The 19,241-nt window shown below is 62.9% G+C and overlaps 1 protein-coding gene across 5 annotated transcripts in view, besides 6 other annotated features; it reads right to left on the bottom strand.

Moving 5' to 3' along the window:
• Nucleotides 1-1,023: 1,023 nt before the first annotated feature.
• The window catches only part of ADAP1 (ArfGAP with dual PH domains 1), a 57,508-nt gene continuing 39,290 nt past the window's right edge, over nucleotides 1,024-19,241 (bottom strand). For all 5 annotated transcript variants that reach the window (NM_001284308.2, NM_006869.4, NM_001284309.2 and 2 more), the window contains 7 exons: nucleotides 8,184-8,296; nucleotides 7,250-7,396; nucleotides 3,657-3,740; nucleotides 3,226-3,288; nucleotides 2,543-2,614; nucleotides 2,157-2,385; nucleotides 1,024-2,073 (listed from right to left, as the gene is read on the bottom strand). In NM_001284308.2, the coding sequence (NP_001271237.2) occupies nucleotides 2,045-2,073; nucleotides 2,157-2,385; nucleotides 2,543-2,614; nucleotides 3,226-3,288; nucleotides 3,657-3,740; nucleotides 7,250-7,396; nucleotides 8,184-8,296 (737 nt within the window). In that variant the 3' untranslated portion in view covers nucleotides 1,024-2,044. The remainder of the gene's footprint in view (nucleotides 2,074-2,156; nucleotides 2,386-2,542; nucleotides 2,615-3,225; nucleotides 3,289-3,656; nucleotides 3,741-7,249; nucleotides 7,397-8,183; nucleotides 8,297-19,241) is intronic.
• Nucleotides 1,898-2,485: an enhancer, noted in NCBI's record as "H3K27ac-H3K4me1 hESC enhancer chr7:938411-938998 (GRCh37/hg19 assembly coordinates)". NCBI's record gives its function as "activates a minimal SCP1, AML or CMV promoter by ChIP-STARR-seq in primed H9 embryonic stem cells {active_cell/tissue: H9 hESC(primed)}" and the evidence as "EXISTENCE:reporter gene assay evidence [ECO:0000049][PMID:30033119]".
• Nucleotides 2,486-3,072: an enhancer, noted in NCBI's record as "H3K27ac-H3K4me1 hESC enhancer chr7:938999-939585 (GRCh37/hg19 assembly coordinates)". NCBI's record gives its function as "activates a minimal SCP1, AML or CMV promoter by ChIP-STARR-seq in primed H9 embryonic stem cells {active_cell/tissue: H9 hESC(primed)}" and the evidence as "EXISTENCE:reporter gene assay evidence [ECO:0000049][PMID:30033119]".
• Nucleotides 4,701-4,770: a silencer, noted in NCBI's record as "silent region_17825". NCBI's record gives its function as "represses an Ori minimal core promoter by ATAC-STARR-seq in GM12878 lymphoblastoid cells {active_cell/tissue: GM12878}" and the evidence as "EXISTENCE:reporter gene assay evidence [ECO:0000049][PMID:35858748]".
• Nucleotides 5,131-5,190: an enhancer, noted in NCBI's record as "active region_25477". NCBI's record gives its function as "activates an Ori minimal core promoter by ATAC-STARR-seq in GM12878 lymphoblastoid cells {active_cell/tissue: GM12878}" and the evidence as "EXISTENCE:reporter gene assay evidence [ECO:0000049][PMID:35858748]".
• Nucleotides 10,826-11,524: an enhancer, noted in NCBI's record as "H3K4me1 hESC enhancer chr7:947339-948037 (GRCh37/hg19 assembly coordinates)". NCBI's record gives its function as "activates a minimal SCP1, AML or CMV promoter by ChIP-STARR-seq in naive H9 embryonic stem cells {active_cell/tissue: H9 hESC(naive)}" and the evidence as "EXISTENCE:reporter gene assay evidence [ECO:0000049][PMID:30033119]".
• Nucleotides 12,039-12,258: a silencer, noted in NCBI's record as "silent region_17826". NCBI's record gives its function as "represses an Ori minimal core promoter by ATAC-STARR-seq in GM12878 lymphoblastoid cells {active_cell/tissue: GM12878}" and the evidence as "EXISTENCE:reporter gene assay evidence [ECO:0000049][PMID:35858748]".

The following is a 19,241-nucleotide window of genomic DNA, read 5'->3' on the forward strand; positions in this document are numbered from 1 at the left end:
CCCTCGTGGCCCGTGCTGAGCCTGCGCCGCGGCGTCTGCCTCTGCCTGCCTCAGGACTTCGCGGCGGAGTCACGGTCCGTCCCTGTGCCTGCTGCCAGCAAGGGGATGCCCTTCCCCACAGCTGTGTCCACGCGGGGAGGTGTGGACAGCGAGTGAGCGACCACCTTCTGTGCCTGCGCCACCTCCCCTGGTTCAAAAAATTCTTTCCCCCCATTAGAAAGTTGTTCTGTGGTTTTTAAAATGTGACAGTCGTCAGTGTCCTCAGCACACACGTGGACACGTGCACATTCGGGGACACGCACACACTGAGCACGTGCCCACACTTCCACGCCATGGGGAGGGCTGTGGGCACTGCTGGTTTCCCCCGGGGGTGTGTCCAGCACAGCCCAGGGCTCTCCCTGACCCAGGCCCACTCCTCTCACCTCGGGTTAGGACCGTGGCACCTGGTGAGGTTGCGGGGCACTTGCCTGGGGTTTCAGCTCCAAGTGGGGGTACCTCGCCCACATCCTCGTCACCAGCACAGCTGCCTTGGGGACCCCTAGGCTGGGATTGGGAGACCTCTACTCCGCCCTAGAGTCCCAGCTCCTCATTGGAGAAGTGGGATTCAGCATGTTCTGTGTGAGGGCTGAGGGGCCCAGCATTGGGGGGGTGGGCTGGCAGGCACAGGGGACCCCCGACCCGGGATGCATCCCCCACACTGTCCTTCATGCTGAGCTTGGCTTGGCTTTCAGGCTGTGGACTCTGCCCAGGAACTGCCTGGCGGGCCTCAGATGGAGGGGGCACCTGGGGAAGGGGGGCACCTGGGGAAGGGGTGCTGGGGGGCACCTCGGGTAGGGACCGTCTCCCGTGTACAAGGAGCATGGCGCTGTGACTAGCTCAGACACCGTGTCCTCCCTCCAAACCTCAGGGAGCGAGGGCCCTGTCAGGTCCCTGGGAGCAGACGAAGATTCTCCTGAAGCCAGGGAGGCAGGGCCACGTGTTCCCAGCCCAACTTCCTCCCCACTCCATCCTCGGACACACAGCTGGAACCATGCCAGAGCCACATTTTATTCCAGGATGCGACACGGGGCGGCGGATGCCTGGCCTCGGAAACCCCCTCCCTGCCTATGAGGGCTTGTCCAGGGCTCCCCTGGAACACAGCTCAGCCAGGCAAGGCTGGGAGAGGGCTGGGCCCCCCAGGTGACCTGCAGACGCCTCCCCCACCTACATGCCCCACGCAAGGGGAGCCCTGGAGCCCGGCCTGCCTTGACAGGAAGGAGATAGGTGAAAAATAAATACACGGCTGGGCCGCCTGCAGCAAGCGCGACAGTGCCCGGGACCCCCAGGGCCACTCCTGCCTCTGGTGGCCTCACCGCGGCCCAGGCCCTCGTCCCCAAGGGTTCAGACACCACTGTCGGCGAGCACCGTGCTGGGCGCAGAGGCCACGTGTGGTGGGACGGCAGCCTGCTGGCCCCTCCAGGTGAGGACCAGGAGCACAGGCTGTGGCAACTCCAGCCCGGGCAGGGGCCGGGACCTGTGTGGATAATCCACCCAAACACCCCACGGCCCTCATAGCCCCGTGACACACAACAGGCGCTCAATAAATAGTCGTGGAGGTGGGGGGAGGGCGGGGCGGCATGCGAGCAGGGCCCAGTCCCCAGCGGCCGGCAGCTGCCCACCGTGCTGGCCCCAAGCAGGGCTCTGCGCTGAGGCCTGGAAGTTCCCACAGCCGTGGTGGGCGGCTCCTGGGGGCTGTGTCTGAGCTCGGGAGCCAGACTGGGCCCTGGAGGAAAGGGGGCCCCGGGTCAGGGAGGGGCAGGTTGGCTGGGTGTGGTCAGCAGCAGCATGACGGGGTTAGAGATCAGGCCCAGGGCCTGGGCTGCCTGCCTTGAGGTTCCAGAGAAGCATCCTGGAAGCTGAAGCTCGGGCCCTACCTGGCCGCGCCGGGCTGCCCTGAGGAGCAGGTGGGGCCAGGTGGCCTCAGGACGCCAGAGCCCCCCCATCCACGGGTCCCCTCCGTCCAGCCACAGTGAGTCCAATGTCCGTGGTCCTCCAGCCGCACTCGCTAAGGTTTATGCTTGAAGTGCGCCTCCACTGCAACGGAACAGGGTCCAGCGTTGTCACAGCGGCGGGGAGCTGGGAGCCCTTCCAGGCCGCCGGCCGCCCGCCCCCCTCACCTGCGTACTCCTGGGGCAGCATGGGCCTGTCCACCGCCTTCTGGAAGGCCGCCACCCACTCCCTCTGGTCGGACTCCGTCTCGCAGGCAAACAGAAACTTGCGGTCGGGCGTGACGATGGTGATGCCATGTGGCCAGTGGTGGCCCTGGGTGGACGGCGGGAACCCATGCAGCACCGTGTAGCCACTCTCCTTGCTGCCAATGAAGACTTCCCCTCGGGCGAAGGCGTCCTGTGGGTGGGGACCGCACTGGAGGCGGGGCCATGTCCCTTCCAGCCCCGCTTCACTCAGGCCAGGACTCGGGAGGCCACCCGCCCTCCTGGTCACGCATCTGGCAACCCCAGCCAGTGAGCTGCCCTCCCGTGCTGGGGCCACAGCTCCTCCTTACCAGGGGGTCTTTGAAGTACATGAGCCTGCGGTCATCCATGGTGAACCAGCGCTTCCGGAAGCCTTCCGTTTGCTGTGGGTCAGAGAGGGCCCGTGACCGGCAGGTCGCCGAGGCAGGCCCTACATCCAGCTGACCACAGCACACCCCGGAGGGCAGGGCCCAGACTGGCCCGGGTCAGTCACCTCCATTCACTCACGCCTGCCGCTGGCCACGCCCCACGAGGCCTCCGCACACGCCTGTCCTCCAGCCTCCACACGGCACCTCCCTCCTGCTCCTCCAGGTCCCCCAGCCCTCCCTGGGCCCCAGATGGGGGCCCAGGCCTCACTTACGAGCCCTCACACCTGCACTTCTCCTCCGGGACCACCAAGACTCCCAGGATTTGTGTCTCCCTCCCACATTATGCCTCAGGGAATGGCAAGATGTGGGCCCCTGGCCGCGCAGGTGCACGGTCCCGTGGGTGAGGAAGCTGGTCAGACGTGAGCGGGCAGGGAGGGTCTAACCAAAGCCTAGGACAGTGGCCCGAGTCCTCGGGGACCCCGGCCAGGCACAGACAAGGGGCTGTGAGGACCCACCAGACACCAGTTTAAAACACAGGCGGCAGCTGGCAAGGCTGCTGCACTTCAGTCCGAGACCCACCATGGCGTACCCCAGGCCACCCCAGGCCGCACGTGCGGCACACCCACCTTGGGCCCCGTCTTCTCCATGTAGCCTTCCTTCAGGTAGTTCCTGGAGAGCTTTGGCACCAGCTAGGGCAGGACACACCAGGCAGGGGACCTCAGAAGTGCAGCTCAGGCCGAGCCCCTCCCTGGCTGTGCCCCTCTGTGCTCCCCTCACCCCGGGCCACCAGGTCAGGGCCCAGGCCTGGCTTAGCCTCCGCAGGATCCACATTTCTGCCTCTGCTTGCCACCCCTTCCCTCCCCGCTTTCCCCTTTGGCTGAGCTGAAGTTCTAGAGTGAGGCAGGAGGGCTGCAGGCACGTCAGGGTGAGCCCTTGGCCAGTCCCAGGCCCACCCTAGGGCTCAACATCATCCCAGACTCAGGGCACGAGGGCTCCGTCCACCCCCCACCCCACCACCCCTGTCTGCCCTGGAGCTGACCGCAGGGCCGCCACTCACATCTGCGTCGCCGGCCCCTGGGAATGCCACCTGCAGGTAGTGGAAGCGAGCAGCTCGGAGTGCATTGAACCAGTCCACAATCTCCTAGGGGCAAAGGTGGGCACAGGCTTGGGCTGAGGAGGCTGCAGCGCTGGGGTCCCCACAGAGGGGCTGGGGTCCCCACAGAGGGGCCGCTTCCCCCAGAGCCCAGCCCCTTCCTCCTCCCCGGCACCTCAGCTCCCAGCAGTCCTGCCGCAGGCCTGGCCCCTGTGCCCACGCTGAGGCCGGGGCTGCTACACAGGGGCTGCCCCTCTGCGGGAGGGCAGGTGCAGCCTCCCCCGGCGAAGTCCTGAGAAGGGCCGAAGGGCCGAAGGGCCGGGCCGGGCCGGGCTGGACAGGGTCGGGGGCTGCCATCCAAGCTCACTCTGTGGCCCTGGTGCTGCTGGGGCCTGGGCCAACTTGCCTTCCTTTCAGATGGTGCTATTTTTATGAAGATCCTTATTTTGTAGCTCAAGCAAGTCTTGGGGTGGTGGGAGAAGGGAGGCTCATCTGTTTATAAACGCCCTTGGAGCTGTGGCCCCTACCGAGAGTGGGCAGAGAGCAAAACTGCTCTCCAGGGAGCCGCCCTGGTCCTCTGGAGAGCGTGGGGTGGGCCAGCACCCTGGAACAGAGGGCCCATAGCCCAGGCCTGGCACCCAGCCCCACGTCGGGTGCCCTCTGGGTCTAGACTTCAGCCTGGCTGTCCCCTGCCCCTAGACCCAGCGCCCCTCCTGGGGTCTGCCCAGACCCTTGGCCCCATGACATTATAACCTGCGCCCTGGGCCTCCTGTTCAGCCTACAGCCTGGAGCTGGTGACCTCTGGAAAGGTGCCCATCTTTACTCTTGGCTGCACCCTCTCCTGCCCAGGAAGAGCCAGGGAGCCCCATCCCTCCTCAGGCTTCTCCCCAGCCCCTTTGGCCTTGACTTTTGTCCCACAGGCAAAGCCCCCAGCACTGGACCAATCCAGTCACGGCTTCTCCAGCTGGCACCCGGCCCAGCACCAGCTGGAGGATGGTGTAGCCCCAGGCTCCTCCCATAGCAGTGGGATTGCCCTGTCCTCTTCCAGTGGCCCCACCCAGCAAAGCCCCACCCACCCCGACTGCCCCTCATCGGCCTCCAGCCCTGCTTTCTCCTGTGGCCCTTCCTCCTAGGCCACGCCCACAAGCCACACCCACGCCACCCAACCAGCCCGAGGCCCCGCCTCCCCTCCTTCCCCCGCCCACCCTTTCCTCCGGCCCGCCCCGTCCCATTTGGCCCCGCCCTCCCTCCTCCTAGAGGAAGCTGAACCCGTCCACACCACACTGCCCCAAAGGCCTTGGGAATTCACAGCTCCAGGTCCCCCGGAAATGCAGGGGGCTCTAAGCAGAACTGGTTGGAAAATCGCCCCTTTTCCCCCAGCAGGAGATGGAGCCGACTCTGGGGCTCCGGGCAGACGGGGCATGCCTGGTGCACTCCACGCTGGAGCTCTGTGACCCTGCAGGCTGCAGCGGAAACTCCCTCAGCTCCCACAGCTGGGGGCCAAGCGTCTGCCCTGGGCGGGGGGAATTATCTTTGGAGGATCAGGAGTTGGACACCAGCCTGACCAACATGGTGAAACCCGGTCTCTACTAAAAATACAAAAATTGCGGCTGGGCGCAGTGGCTCACACCTGTAATCCCAGCACTTTGGGAGGCTGAGGCAGGTGGATCACCTGAGGTCGGGAGCTCGAGACCAGCCTGACCAACATGAAGAAACCCCGTCTCTACTAAAAATACAAAATTAGCTGGGTGTGGTGGCGCATGCCTGTAATCCCAGCTACTCGGGAGGCTGAGGCAGGAGAATGACTTGAACCAGGGAGGCAAAGGTTGCAGTGAGCCGAGATTGCACCACTGCACTCCAGCCTGGGTGACAAGGGCGAAACTCTGCCTCAAAAAAAAAAAAAGAAAGAAAAGAAAGAAAGAAAAATAAATACTCCAAGAACCAAAGGCTCTCTGAAAAACTAAATGCATGACAGCAGAAACAAAACCCTCAACACAGTGTTGGAGACAAAGTTGAAGAAATTTCCCAGAAAGTAGAAGAAAAATGAACCAGTTTAAGAGCACCAATAACAGGAGTTTCAGAAAATGAGAACAGGGAAAGTGGAGGGAGGAAATCATTAGATAAGAAAGCAATCCCTGACCTCATGGAAACCAGTAACTGGACTGGAAGGGCCACCCTGGGCCTGTACCCAGCACATGAAAAGACGAGGGACCCTTGCCAACACACGCACAGCATTGGAGAATTTCAAAACCGCGGGACAAACGTACTAGGATGGAGGAATCCGTGGTGCAAAGCCTTCAGAATTAGCAGGAAAATTAATTCCAACCTAGAATTCTATATCTAGCCACAGTCTAAGCCAGGCAGGAGGTAGAACAGTCCAAGGTGCCAGGTGACCCCTTTCCCTCCAGGCACATCACTTCTACCAAGAGGAATAAGTAAACGAGAAAGACGTAGGACCCGGGCAGCAGGGCTCCACCCAGGAACCAGATGAGGCTGCAGGAGCGAGATCTCCAGGCCGTGGGAGTCGCAGGCTCCTGGTGCCCGACTGCCTCCAGAGACAACAGTCTGCGGAGAGTCTGCGGCAACACATGGTCAACTGCGGCAAGGAACACAGCCGCTTACTGTGGGAAGAGCGATCACAGCGTGCTCTGAGGCCAGGGGCTGCACCCGACTCGGCCCCCTAACAAACCCAGGGTCAGATGCCAGCGGAGCACGGCAGGCAGGGGACGGGCACGTGGGAGGGGATGGAAAGAGCTGGAACCTCTACTTCCACGTGGGAAGTTGTCAGATGGTGCCTAAAGTGGGTAAATCTGCAGCGACACCGGCAGCTTATTTTTGGATATGGGGACCAATTCCCAACGGGGGTTAGGAGGGACCTCAAACTTCTGTTTCTCAAGATTTAGGAACGATATAGCGCTTTAGACCGTGTGCACACAGACGTGTGATAAACATAGAAACAAGAACCTAAGTAACAAAGAGGCTGGGCCCACCGCTGCGCCCCCTGCAGCCTGGCCCAAAGACAAAAGGATAGCTTTTGTGGGGGTTTTACCTGGGTTCCCCCCAAGCCCTCCAGAGATGCGGGGTACACCCACCCTCCCCGCCGCCACACCAAGGGCAGCCAAAGGAACCCTACCCAAACCACCCCAGAGCCGGCTACCGTCCACATCTCCTCCCCGTAGGACCCCAGTTCCCCCCGAGGTCCCCTCTGGGCATTGTGGGGGCGGTGGATCCTCTAGCCCGAGCTGGCAGCCCCCACTGACAGGGCCAAGCTGGGTGGCCCCAGAGACAGCGTGGTGATCCGGCTCCTGGGCAGCCCGGCCCTGGGAAGCTGCCTTCCTGCACCTGTCTTCCCATGCTGCCCGGCGCCAGTGCCCACACTCCCACACGTCCAAGCACCCGCCTTCCCACGCTGCCCAGCCCGACTTCCCGCCTTCTCATGCCGCCTAGCTCAAGTGCCTACCCTCCCGTACCGTCCAAGCACCCACCTTCCTGCGCCACCCGGGCCTGAGGGCCCACCCTCCTGTGCCACCCGGGCCCGAGTGCTCGCCAGCACCCACCTTCCCGTCCTCATGGTAGATGAAGATGTTACGGGTGCTGTTGTCCTTCAGGTAGGTGACCTGCAGGCCGTGGGGGTGGCCGATCTTGGCCGGCTGGAAGGTGGCGTTCAGGTGCTCGATCTTCATCACGGCCTTGGGCTCCTTGGCCTGAGAAGGGGTGGGGTCTAAGCACCTCACAGGGGCCGTCGTCCAAGCTCAAGGGAGCAGGAAGGGCAGACCCTGTGGGTGCTGGCGGCGCACCTGCTGTGCTGTGTGGCTTTGGGCAAGTTACTTAAGCGCTCTGAGCCTTGGCCTCCCGGTCTGTAAGCAGAAGGTAACAGCACCTCCCTCCCAGGAGTGATGGGGACCTCAACGACACTGTGCAGGTGGCACTTGACATCAGACACTGCACCTCCCTCCCCGGGGGCAGCCCCGGGCCCCACACGGCACGGCAGCTCCCACAGGGGCAGGCCCCAGCCACCAGCCCACCTCCAGCCAGTGCCCGCCACGGCTCAGGGCGGGTGCTTCTGACCATCAGCCCATGGGTCTGGGGCCACCTTGTGAAGACCCCACTGTTCTTGCCAATGTGTTTGTCCTGTCCCAGTCCAGTCTCCCCAGGGTACCTCCAGGAAAACTAGGGGCTTTCTGGGGTCCTGGCTGGCTCCAGAGGGGCCCAGTGACTAGGTTCTCCCTCTCCCACGGCTGGGCCTGAGTTCAGGGGGCCCCGCCCGGCCGCCCAGGCTCCTGGAAAGCCTCAGCTGCCCCACCCTGGGGGACGCTGGGTCCGGCACACAGAGGCTCAGCCCAACACAGGCCGGTTCTCCTGGAGCGTCCCCATCGGGGGGGGCAGCAGGGAGGGCAGCTGCGGATGGACGCGGCCACCACAGGCCCCAGTGTGGGAGGCCGGGATGCCGCCCTGGGACAGGCCCCCACCCCACCCCCGTCTGTGACTCACATCATTTCTGTTGAAATACTTCAGAGCACCCTCTCGTTCTGTCAGCACAAACTTCCGGCTCAAAAACTGCCCGTTGTCCCGGCCACGCTTCCAGAGAAAACCCTCACGGTACCCTGTGGGGGAAAGGGGACACGAGTCGGTGACAGTGGATGGGGGGGAGGAAACAAAAGGAGTGACGATGGACAGGACAGAGGGGACATGGGGAGAAGACACGGGGGACACGGACGGGGGACACGGACAGGGGGAGACGGACGGGGAGAGGGGACATGGAGGAGACAGGGAGATAGGAAGATGGGCAGGGAAAGGGAAAGGGAAAGGAGAAAGGAGAAAGGAGAAAGGAGAAAGGAGAAAGGGAGAAAGAGAAAGGAGAAAGGAGAAAGGGAGAAAGGGAGAAAGGGAAAGGAGAAAGGAGAAAGGGAAAGGAGAAAGGAGAAGGGAGAAGGGAGAAGGGAGAAGGGAGAAGGGAGAAGGGAGAAGGGAGAAGGGAGAAGGGAGAAAGGAGAAAGGAGAAAGGAGAAAGGAGAAAGGAGAAAGGAGAAAGGAGAAAGGAGAAAGGAGAAAGGGAAAGGAGAAAGGGAAAGGAGAAAGGGAAAGGAGAAAGGAGAAAGGAGAAAGGGAAAGGAGAAAGGAGAAAGGAGAAAGGAGAAAGGAGAAAGGAGAAAGGGAAAGGAGAAAGGGAAAGGAGAAGGGAGAAGGGAGAAGGGAGAAAGGAGAAAGGAGAAAGGAGAAAGGAGAAAGGAGAAAGGAGAAAGGAGAAGGGAGAAGGGAGAAGGGAGAAGGGAGAAGGGAGAAGGGAGAAGGGAGAAGGGAGAAGGGAGAAAGGAGAAAGGAGAAAGGAGAAAGGAGAAAGGGAAAGGAGAAAGGGAGAAAGGAGAAAGGGAGAAAGGAGAAAGGGAGAAAGGAGAAAGGGAGAAAGGAGAAAGGGAAAGGAGAAAGGAGAAAGGAGAAAGGAGAAAGGGAAAGGAGAAAGGAGAAAGGGAAAGGAGAAAGGAGAAAGGAGAAAGGGAGAAAGGAGAAAGGGAAAGGAGAAAGGGAGAAAGGAGAAAGGGAGAAAGGAGAAAGGGAGAAAGGAGAAAGGGAGAAAGGAGAAAGGGAAAGGAGAAAGGAGAAAGGAGAAAGGGAAAGGAGAAAGGAGAAAGGAGAAAGGAGAAAGGAGAAAGGGAAAGGAGAAAGGGAGAAAGGAGAAAGGGAGAAAGGAGAAAGGGAGAAAGGAGAAAGGGAGAAAGGAGAAAGGGAAAGGAGAAAGGAGAAAGGAGAAAGGAGAAAGGGAAAGGAGAAAGGAGAAAGGGAAAGGAGAAAGGGAGAAAGAGAAAGGAGAAAGGAGAAAGGAGAAAGGAGAAAGGGAAAGGAGAAAGGGAGAAAGGGAAAGGAGAAAGGAGAAAGGAGAAAGGAGAAAGGGAAAGGAGAAAGGAGAAAGGAGAAAGGAGAAAGGGAAAGGAGAAAGGGAGAAAGGAGAAAGGAGAAAGGGAAAGGAGAAAGGAGAAGGGAGAAAGGGAGAAAGGGAAAGGAGAAAGGGAAAGGAGAAAGGAGAAAGGAGAAGGGAGAAAGGGAGAAAGGGAAAGGAGAAAGGAGAAAGGAGAAAGGGAAAGGAGAAAGGGGGCGGGAAAGGGGACATGGACAGGGGACACGGGGGACATGGACATGGGGGACGGGACATCGGGGACGGGACATGGGGGACAGAGTACATAGGGGACATGGACAGGGGACATGGGGGACAGGGGACACGGGGGACGGGACAGGGGACATGGGGGGACATGGGTCAGATGGTGATGGTGGATGGTTGGTGAGGGGATATGACAGTGGACCAGCGCTGTTGGCTGCAACCCTGGCCCAAGCCAGCCTGAGGACGGCCTGGATGAGCGGGACTCCAGCTGTCCTTTACTGGCCCCCAGGGACCCTCCCCATCCTGAGTGGACATGGCCAGAGCCACCATGGGCAGAGGCAGGGCTGGGTCCAACCTCGTGCTGCCCGGGAGGACCAGGCTGGCCTCCTCCCTCCTCCCTCAGCCGTCCGCAGCTGCTGGGTCCAGGTGGTGCCATCCCCTCTTTTTTCAGGAAAGCTCATCTGAGGGGAGTCCAGCTCAAGCCCTCATCTCCGCCTGTGGCCTCACGCACACCACACACAGCCACAGAAAAGTAGCCCGGGCATCCCCCTGGGAGCCTAAGCACCTGGACACGCCACCTTCTATGGCAAAACACACCGTGCACGGGTGGTTAGGACGCTGCTGTGGCAGACGATCACAGGGGAGGGAGGCAGAGATATGAGGACAGGAGGGAAGGGGACGTGGCCGTGGAAACTGAGGCCAGAGGGGGCCCCAGAGCCCAGGAGCACCAGGGAGAGGCCAGAGGACCCGTCCTGAGCCCAGAACCAGCTCTGCCCACTCCGAGTCTCGGGCCCGTGGGATCGTCCTGGAGCTCTGCCAGAGCTGTGGGAGAACAAACACGTGTGGCTTCACGTCACTGAGCTGCGGTCAGTGACCCACGTGTGGCCACTCAGAGGGGCGTTCCCATCCCCCCCAGGCCCCGCTCCCACTTCTGCTCCCTGTCCGTGGTTCCTATCGTTGCCCGTCCTTTCTCCTGCTCTGGAACTCTGTGTCCTGCGGACTCAGATGCAGCTTCTTCTATGGCCCTGGCTGTCCCGCCCCAACAGCATGTGGCTTGCAGCATCCGTGTCCTGGGCTCCGTCTGCCAGGCCTTGGGTCGCGTGCAGGTCCCGCCGTTGGCAGCAGCTGCGTGGCCAGGGTCGAGCAGGTCCTCAGTGGGTGCAGACTCTCCTGGGATCACGGGGCCGTCTGCCAAGCATCCCCAGTGGGCGCCGCCTCTCCGGAGGTCGCGGGGCCGTCTGCCGAGGAGCCGTCTGCCGAGCATCCGTGGCCCCTCCAGGGGTCGCGGGGCCGTCTGCCCAGTGTCCGTGGGCCCTTCCCGGGGTCGTGGGGCCGTCTGCTGAGCATCCGTGGGCCTGTCCGTGACCCCTCAGTGACTTCAGAGAGCACTTGCTTGGGGACAGCATCCCATCCTGCTGGCCATGTGGCCTGGGAGCCCCGGTCATCTGAGGGCAGGGGCTGCTGACCTACGCCACAGGGACGCGAGGGGGCTGTGGGCTCCAGGCGGGGCTAAACAGCCCCCTGCAGCAGCCAACAGGCCAGACAGAGGCTCAGATTGCAGACACCGCCCATCAGCCCTGACCACCAAAGCCCCCTGCTCCCCAGCATCCCCTCCCCAGCTCAGACAGCCCCATCCCGACACCAGAGACCAGGGGCTATTTTCTCTGCTGAGATGCAAGCCATAAAACGCCTGGCGTTGGGGAGGGGACAGCTGGTGCCCTCGGGGAGGGGGCCCTGGGCTGTCTTGGATGGTGCCAGACGGGGCCTGCTCCCCTCACTGCCCGGAGCTCCCCGCTCCCCAAGCCTCTACAAGGCTGCTGCCCCAGCCCCGTGCGCACAGCAGCAGCCAGGAGCCCCCTTCCCATGGAAGAACCCCCTTCTCCTGCTTCTCACTGTGAGAGCGAGGCCACCAGTGTCCCTCAGACCCAAGTAAGGCCTGCTCAGAACGCCTGTTGACTCAGTGAGCCCCTGCCCAGGCACAGCTGGGTGTCCCCACGGCTCTGCCTCCGACATCAGGACCTCTTTGGACGCGGCGCTTCGTGGCTGAGGGTGGACGCCGAGAAGTGCCCGGGGAGGCATCGCAGCAGCGGGCCCAGCGGCGCTTCCCGGCCTCTGCCGCTCACGGCCTTGTGTGCACCCCGGGGAGCCTCCAAGGCGTGCGTGTCCGTGTCACCAATGCAGACGACAAGTTTGGGCCACCTCGCCCACGGGGGTGGAGCTGGCTGGGTCCAGTGTGTCGGTTCCACAGACCCCTGCCCAGGACACAGCGGGGGCCCCTTCCAGCGACCGGGCTCCCTAGGCCACAGGGTGGGGACGCGCCCCTGCCATGCCCGCCGCGCCCAGCAGGTGACAGCAGTGCTCCGGAAGCGCGCAGGCCGCGGGGTCTGGGAGGCCACTGCCCCTCTGCACGCGCGCAGCTGCTCCGGTGTTCTCGGGGTCCAGACGCCAGCGGGAACCCCGGTCCTCCCGACAGCAGGCGCCAGCGGGAACCCCGGTCCTCCCGACAGCAGGCGCCAGCGGGAACCCCGGACCTCCCGACAGCAGGCGCCAGCGGGAACCCCGGTCCTCCCGACAGCAGGCGCCAGCGGGAACCCCGGACCTCCCGACAGCAGGCGCCAGCGGGAACCCCGGTCCTCCCGACAGCAGGCGCCAGCGGGAACCCCGGTCCTCCCGACAGCAGGCGCCAGCGGGAACCCCGGTCCTCCCGACAGCAGGCGCCAGCGGGAACCCCGGTCCTCCCGACAGCAGGCGCCAGCGGGAACCCCGGTCCTCCCGACAGCAGGCGCCAGGACGCCGCATTCCAGGGGCAATGACGACGCAGGAGTGTATTTCAGGACGGCGCTGGCCACGGTCCCGGACGCGCCCCACGCCCAGTCCAGACCTCAGGCTGAGCCTCTGCTCTCCCCATGCCTGGCCAGCCCCTTGGCCTCGCTGGGGAGGGCCAGGACCTCAGGGGCCTGCAGCCCCCAGTCGGCACCAGCAACAGCCAGTGAGACGGGGCTTCTCCCCACAGAGCAGCCCCTCACACGGCAGCGTCCTGGACAGCCGGGTGGGCTGTGGCCAGAAATGGCCATTTTCTCTTAAAGGACTCGTGAGTCCTGGGGCAGGACTCGACCAGTATTTATCAAACAGCTACCGCGTGCCGCGCCCTGCTGTGAGCTGGTCCCGCTGTGTGTCGGGTCCTATGGTGTGGGGTGGGGGGGGTTCTACTGCACACCAGGCCCTACTGTGTGCCGGTCCCACTGTGTGCCAGGTCTTGTCCCACCTGTGGGGAGCTGGGTCCAGTCCACACCCCATGCCCTGCTCAGACGCCTCTGAGGAGCCCTTCTGCCCACCGCACGGCTAAGAGCAGGAAAGACGTTCAGCATCGCCATGACCCACGAGAACGGCAAAACCAAACCAGTGTGCACACACAGGCGCCCGACTGTGGGCGGGGACGCCGGCCCTTCCACGCTGCCCGTGGGGATGTAAGGTGCCCCAGTCCCTGGAAAGCAGCCAGGCCGTTTCTTCCACCACAGTGAAGCGCGCACATCACGTGCCTCAGAGAGAAGTGAAATCCGAGGAAACAGGAACAGCCTTCACATAAAGCCCACACCCGTTTACGAGGCTTTTTTTTTTTTTTCCCCACCCAGGCTGGAGTGCAGGGGCACTATCACAGCTCACTGCAGCCTTGACCTTCCGGGCTCAAGTGATCCTCCAGCCTTGGCCTCCCGAGTAGCTGGGACCACAGATGCACGCCACCACACCCGGCTAAGTTCTGTATTTTTTTGTAGAGATGGGAGCTCACTGCGTTGCCCAGGCTGGTCTCGAACTTCTGAGCTCAGGTGACCCTCCTGCCTCTCCTCCCACCATACTGGGGTTGCAGCGTGAGCCCCACGCCTGGCCCGAGACTGCTGGGTCTTGGATTTGTCAGAGCTGGGACTGCACTCTAAATAGGATATGCAAAGTAGATGTAAATCACACCTCACGTATGTGATTTATATGCTAATTGTCTTGTAAACTGGGGCAGGGAAGCACGTGGCCCTGCTCTGAGTGACAGCTCACAGGGTGGTGGACCCTCTGGGGTGGGAACTGCATCCCCATATCTCATGGGGCCTCTGGCCTTCCACAGGGAGGGGTGCACCATGGATGGGTGGCCTCTGAGAACGGGGCCGAGGCCCTGATCACTGCACCCCGGCCGTCCCTGTGAAGGGCCTGGACCTGGCTTCCGGCCTTTGGGTCCTAGTGGCTCCTGCCCTCCCTCAGGAGGCAAACACCGGAGCCCACGGCAGAGCAGTGTCTCCTTGCTGGGTAAGGCCTTAGAGTTGAAGGCCTCCTCTGTGAGCCCGCACAGGGCTCCGTCTCTCCCTGCCTGGCCCGTCCACCCACGCTCTCCGACCCATTAATGCACCTTCTCCAGGTTGGTGCGTCTGGGGCCGGCAGAGGCTGAGAACCAGCGGGCCGTATCCTGCGGAGGGCTCCAGGTCCCAGCTTCGCCCTGCGTGGAGCTCTCTCTCCAAACAGCCAGGACAGGGAGGCTTCCCTGTTCCCAGGGGTGAGGCCAGAGGGTGGACGAGGGCTCCTGGGGTCAGCTCTCACCCTGTTCCTATTCTCATATAGCCCCCAGCATGGGGCCCGGCCCCCGACAGGCCTGGAGAGACCCCCCCACTCACACACGGGTTCACAGTTTCCACAGCGCCTTCCTGCCCAGAGTGACGTGTGGATGCCCCCATCCCCGCCAGGCTGCCCAGGCTGCAGGAGGGGCCACCCTCAGGGCCAAGTCAGCCCCAGGGTACCCCCCTCCCCAAGCCCCAAACCCTGAGGCCCCCACACAGGGGCCCCAGCGCCCAAGAACAGCGAACCCTGACTCCTGTAAGACAAACATGCCAGGAAAGGGGCGGGGATCACACGGAGGGCCAGGAAGGGGGCGGGGGTCCCACGGAGGGCCAGGAAGGGGGCGGGGGTCCCACGGAGGGCCAGGAAGGGGGCGGGGGTCCCACGGAGGGCCAGGAAGGGGGCGGGGGTCCCACGGAGGGCCAGGAAGGGGGCGGGGGTCCCACGGAGGGCCAGGAAGGGGGCGGGGGTCCCACGGAGGGCCAGGAAGGGGGCGGGGGTCCCACGGAGGGCCAGGAAGGGGGCGGGGGTCCCACGGAGGGCCAGGAAGGGGGCGGGGGACCCACGGAGGGCCAGGAGCCGACACCCACCCAGAGAGGGGCAATGGGGCAGCCCTACCACCTCTGGCCAGGCCCCAAACACCCGTCCCCCCGAGGGGCAGCCCCACAGCTCTGGCCTGGCCCCAAACACCCGTCCCCTCATGGGCCACGTAAAGCCTCGCGCTGCCTGCGAGGAACGGCTGGTGATGTTCCCAGTAGCGCCCTCGTGCCGCACACCATCGTCCCCACTATATGGACGGGGAAACCGAGGCCCCAGACCTCGTGCACAGCCCCAGCCCCCTCCTGGGCTCCGTCTGCCCTGTGACATTTACGGCAACGGTCGGCCCATCCCTGCCTGGTACCACCAGGAGGGGCCGTCCTGAACCACAGGGGAACCACAGAAGCTCCGACAGGAGCACGGGGTCCGGAGCCTAGAGCAGGAAGCCCCGCGTCTCAGCGAGACCAGGGCCTGGCCCTCAGGACAACATGAGGCATTGTCCAGGCCCCTGTGAAAGCCGCCATTGAGGCTGCGGCCCGAGGCGGGGCCAGCCCGCGGTGGGAGCAGCTGTCACCAGGGTCACCCCCAGGGGCAGGCGGGGGGCAAGTCTGGCTCAGACACAAGGATAAACCCCCACATCTGGGGGAGGGGTGCGGCGCGTCCCCACGCAGTGACCTTGGCCCAGGGAGGCGGCGCAGAGGGTGGGGGAGCCCTGCTGGCTCAGCGGGCTGAGGTTCACCTGGGGCCACAGCGACGCACCTTCCGCTACGCACCGACACCAAGGGCTTCTCCCCCGGTCCTTTGTCGTCAAAGAGCATCTTGGGGAGACACAGCGGCCACAGAGGGGCTTCCCTGCCACAGGTTACTGCAACGTGCACCTCGAGAGGTGTTTCCGCTTCCCTCACTCCTCTTGCATTTATTTTATTTTGATACGGAATCTCGCTGTTGCCCAGGCTGGAGTGCAATGGCGCGATCTCGGCTCCCTGCAACCTCCGCTTCCCAGGTTCAAGCTATTCTCCTGTCTCAGCCTCCTGAGTAGCTGGAGCTATCACGCCAGGCCTATTTATTTATGTTTTAAGACAAGGTCTCTCTGTGGCCCACACTGGAGTGCAGTGGTGCAATCACAGCTCACTGCAGTCTTGACCTCCTGGGCTCAGACCATCCTCCCACCTCAGTGTCCTGAGTAGCTGGGACCATAGGCGCCTCCATGCCCAGCTAATTATTAAACTTTGTCTTGAGACGGAGTCTCCCCACGTTGCCCAGGCTGGTGTTGAACTCCTGGCTCAAGCAACCCTCCCACCTCGGCCTCCCAGAGTGCTGCAATGACAGGCATGAGCCCCGGTGCCCGGCCTTCTTTTGTATTAACTGGAATTCGTGTGCAAAGGCTGCTGGCCTCCTCCCCTTCCTTTTTTTTTTTTTTTTTTTTGAGACGGAGTCTCGCTCTGTCGCCCAGGCTGGAGTTTAGTGGCGTGATCTCCACTCACTGCAAGCTCCACCTCCTGGGTTCACACCATTCTCCTGCCTCAGCCTCCCAAGTAGCTGGGACTACAGGCGCCCGCCACCACACCCAGCTAATTTTTTTGTATTTTTAGTAGAGACGGGGTTTCACCGTGTTAGCCAGGATGGTCTTGATCTCCTGACCTCGTGATCCGCCTGCCTCAGCCTCCCAAAGTGCTGGGATTACAGGCGTGAGGCACCGCGCCCGGTCCTCCCCTTTCTCTTTACTTGTTCCATTCTTTATGTATATGTCTATGGACTTGGGGGTGTGTACCTTGCTCCCCTGTTATAATCCCCTTATACCATCTTCCTTTTGTTGCTCAAATTACTCCCCCAGCTTTAGCCATTAAAAGCTCCTTCAGAGGCCAGGTGTGGTGGCTCACGCCTATAATCTCAGCACTTTGGGAGGCCGAGGCGGGCGGGTCACCTGAGGTCAGGAGTTCCAGACCAGCCTGGCCAACATGATGAAATCCTGTCTCTACTAAAAATATAAAAATTAGCCGGGCGTGGTGGGGGGCGCCTGTAGTCCCAGCTACTCAGGATGCTGAGGCAGGAGAATGGCGGGAACCCGGGAGGTGGACATTGCGGTGAGCTGAGACCGCACCATTGCACCGCAGCCTGGGCAACAGAGCAGGAAAAAACAAACAAACAAAAAACTCCTTCAGAAAAGCCCGGTGGTGATCCTTCCTTTTGGGTGGCCTAACAGAGGGATGGAGTGGGGCTCCGCCTTCCTCAGCCATGGTCCTGGGTGGCGTGGCCCACACACAGGACATCTGGGGCCCCCGCCCTGTGAGAACAACCCGGCCATTTCCACCCACAGCCAAGGTGCAGGCTGTGGGCACTGGGCGTGGCACAGCCTCTAGGAGTTCTTGGTTCCGGCTCATTCCAGGGCAGACCTGCAGCCACTCCTCTGTGCAGAGCGGGAGCCACCTGGCCCAGGCCTCACCTGGCCAACGTGGGGTTGTGGGTGTGGCAGGCCCTTCCCAAGCCCCGAGCTTCCCCTTCCTCCCGGGCCCTGCCGCAGGGACTTCTATATTTCCCTGTGGTCGTGAGGTGTCGCCACTGCCGTGATAAAGGGCTCTGGTGGCAAAGCCAGGGAGCAGGGCAGGAACGCCGCCGGGAATCCCCAGTGCACTCTGGGAGGGGTTGGGAGGCCCGGGAACTGCCAACTGGCGCTGGAGCCCTGTGGAGGAGGCTCTGCCCACGGGGCCGCCCCAGACAGGAGGACACGTCCTCTCCTGCTGCTGCACCCACCCAGACATGGGCTCAGGGTGGGGGCCATGGGGAGGCTCGGGGGGTCCCTGAGGTCTAACCCTGAGCACCAGATGGACACCTGCTCCCTCATCCATCCAGCAAAGGGCAGAACCTAGGGTTCCAAATAGCAGCGGGCAGCTAGGTCTGTGGGAGAGGTGCCCTGGAGCCCCTGAACACACAAGGAGACAGGCAGGGCATCTCACAGGGCCCTGGAACCCCGCCCTGCACAGCACCCAGAGACAGCAGCCTGGAGCACAGACAGTCACCGCCTGCTGGTCCCCAGGCACTTGGCCGTCTGAAGCAGCCAGGCCTTCGTGCCTACTGACCAGGCTGCAGGGGCAGGGTAGAGGGGAGGCTTCAAGGAGGGGTGAGCCCTGCCCTGAGCAGGTGGGTGTCAGTGGGCCCTGAGCACAGGGCCATACGACTCAGCACCTCTGGGTCCCTGGGATCCCAGCAGCCTCCCTGCAGCCGGGGCTCTGGGGCCCGAGGCCCTCTGGCTGGCGTGCCTGGTGCCTCCTGCGCGACCTGGAAGGTGCCGTGGCCCAAGGGAGACAGCAGCCACACACTCTGGAGCAGCCGCAGTCTACGACCCCATGCCCTCTGCAAGAGGCTGCCACCCTGCTGCCAGGTAACACCTGGCCACGGCACTCACGGCACCTTCACAAAGGGCCAGCCCTGCACTCACACCTGCACACCTCGCCTGTGCATCTCACCTGTGCCGCACACACCCGTACATCTCGTCTGTGTACCTCACCCGTGCCTCATGCACACTGTGCACCTCCCCACCATCCTCACACCCATCCAGGGGAGAGAACAGAGGGCACAGCCCATGCGGCCTGGTCTCCACAGGCAGATCATGAGCCTGGTGCTGCGGACGTGGCCGCCCCGCCGGGCCTGGTATGAGAAGCGGCCATTCACTCAGCGTGGGCTTCAGAGGCCGGCAGGCAAGGCCAAGGCCTTGGGCTCCGACCCTGCGAGCAAGCGTGTGCCTGAAAACCTCTGCCCCGACTCTACCCTGCTGGGAGGCCTCTCCCTCCCTCCAACCCCTGCCCGAGGGTCACACGGGAGGCTTTAGCTCATCTCAAATGCTCTCAAGGGAATATCTCAGACAACAGCAAAGGCAGGAATGGGATTCCAGTGGGGCAGGAACAGGATTCCAGTTGGGCAGCCTCGGGCCTGGGGCAGGAGGCGTCTTGGGTCACCAGGCCTGTCACCACCTCCTGGCCCTGAGCCCAATGACACCCATATACCCCTGCAGAACCTACGCCCACTGCCGACGAGACGCTGTCTGCCACCCGCCTGCAGAACCCAGAACCCGCGCCCACTTTCCACGAGACGCTGTCTGCCACCCGCCTGCAGAACCCAGAACCCGCGCCCACTTTCCACGAGATGCCGTCTGCCACCTGCCTGCAGAACCCACGCCCACTGCCCACGAGACACTGTCTGCCACCTGCACGCACCCCCACTTCTGGAGCCCAGACCTGATCTTCCCCAGAAGGGCCACTCCAGGGGCCAGAGGCGGGCACGCCACCTAGGGCGCCACGTTTCCCAAGTCACATCCCGGCCCGACCAGT

The sequence above is a fragment of the Homo sapiens genome, chromosome 7 (genome assembly GCF_000001405.40).
Source record: "Homo sapiens chromosome 7, GRCh38.p14 Primary Assembly".
NCBI classification, from domain to species: Eukaryota; Metazoa; Chordata; class Mammalia; order Primates; family Hominidae; genus Homo; species Homo sapiens.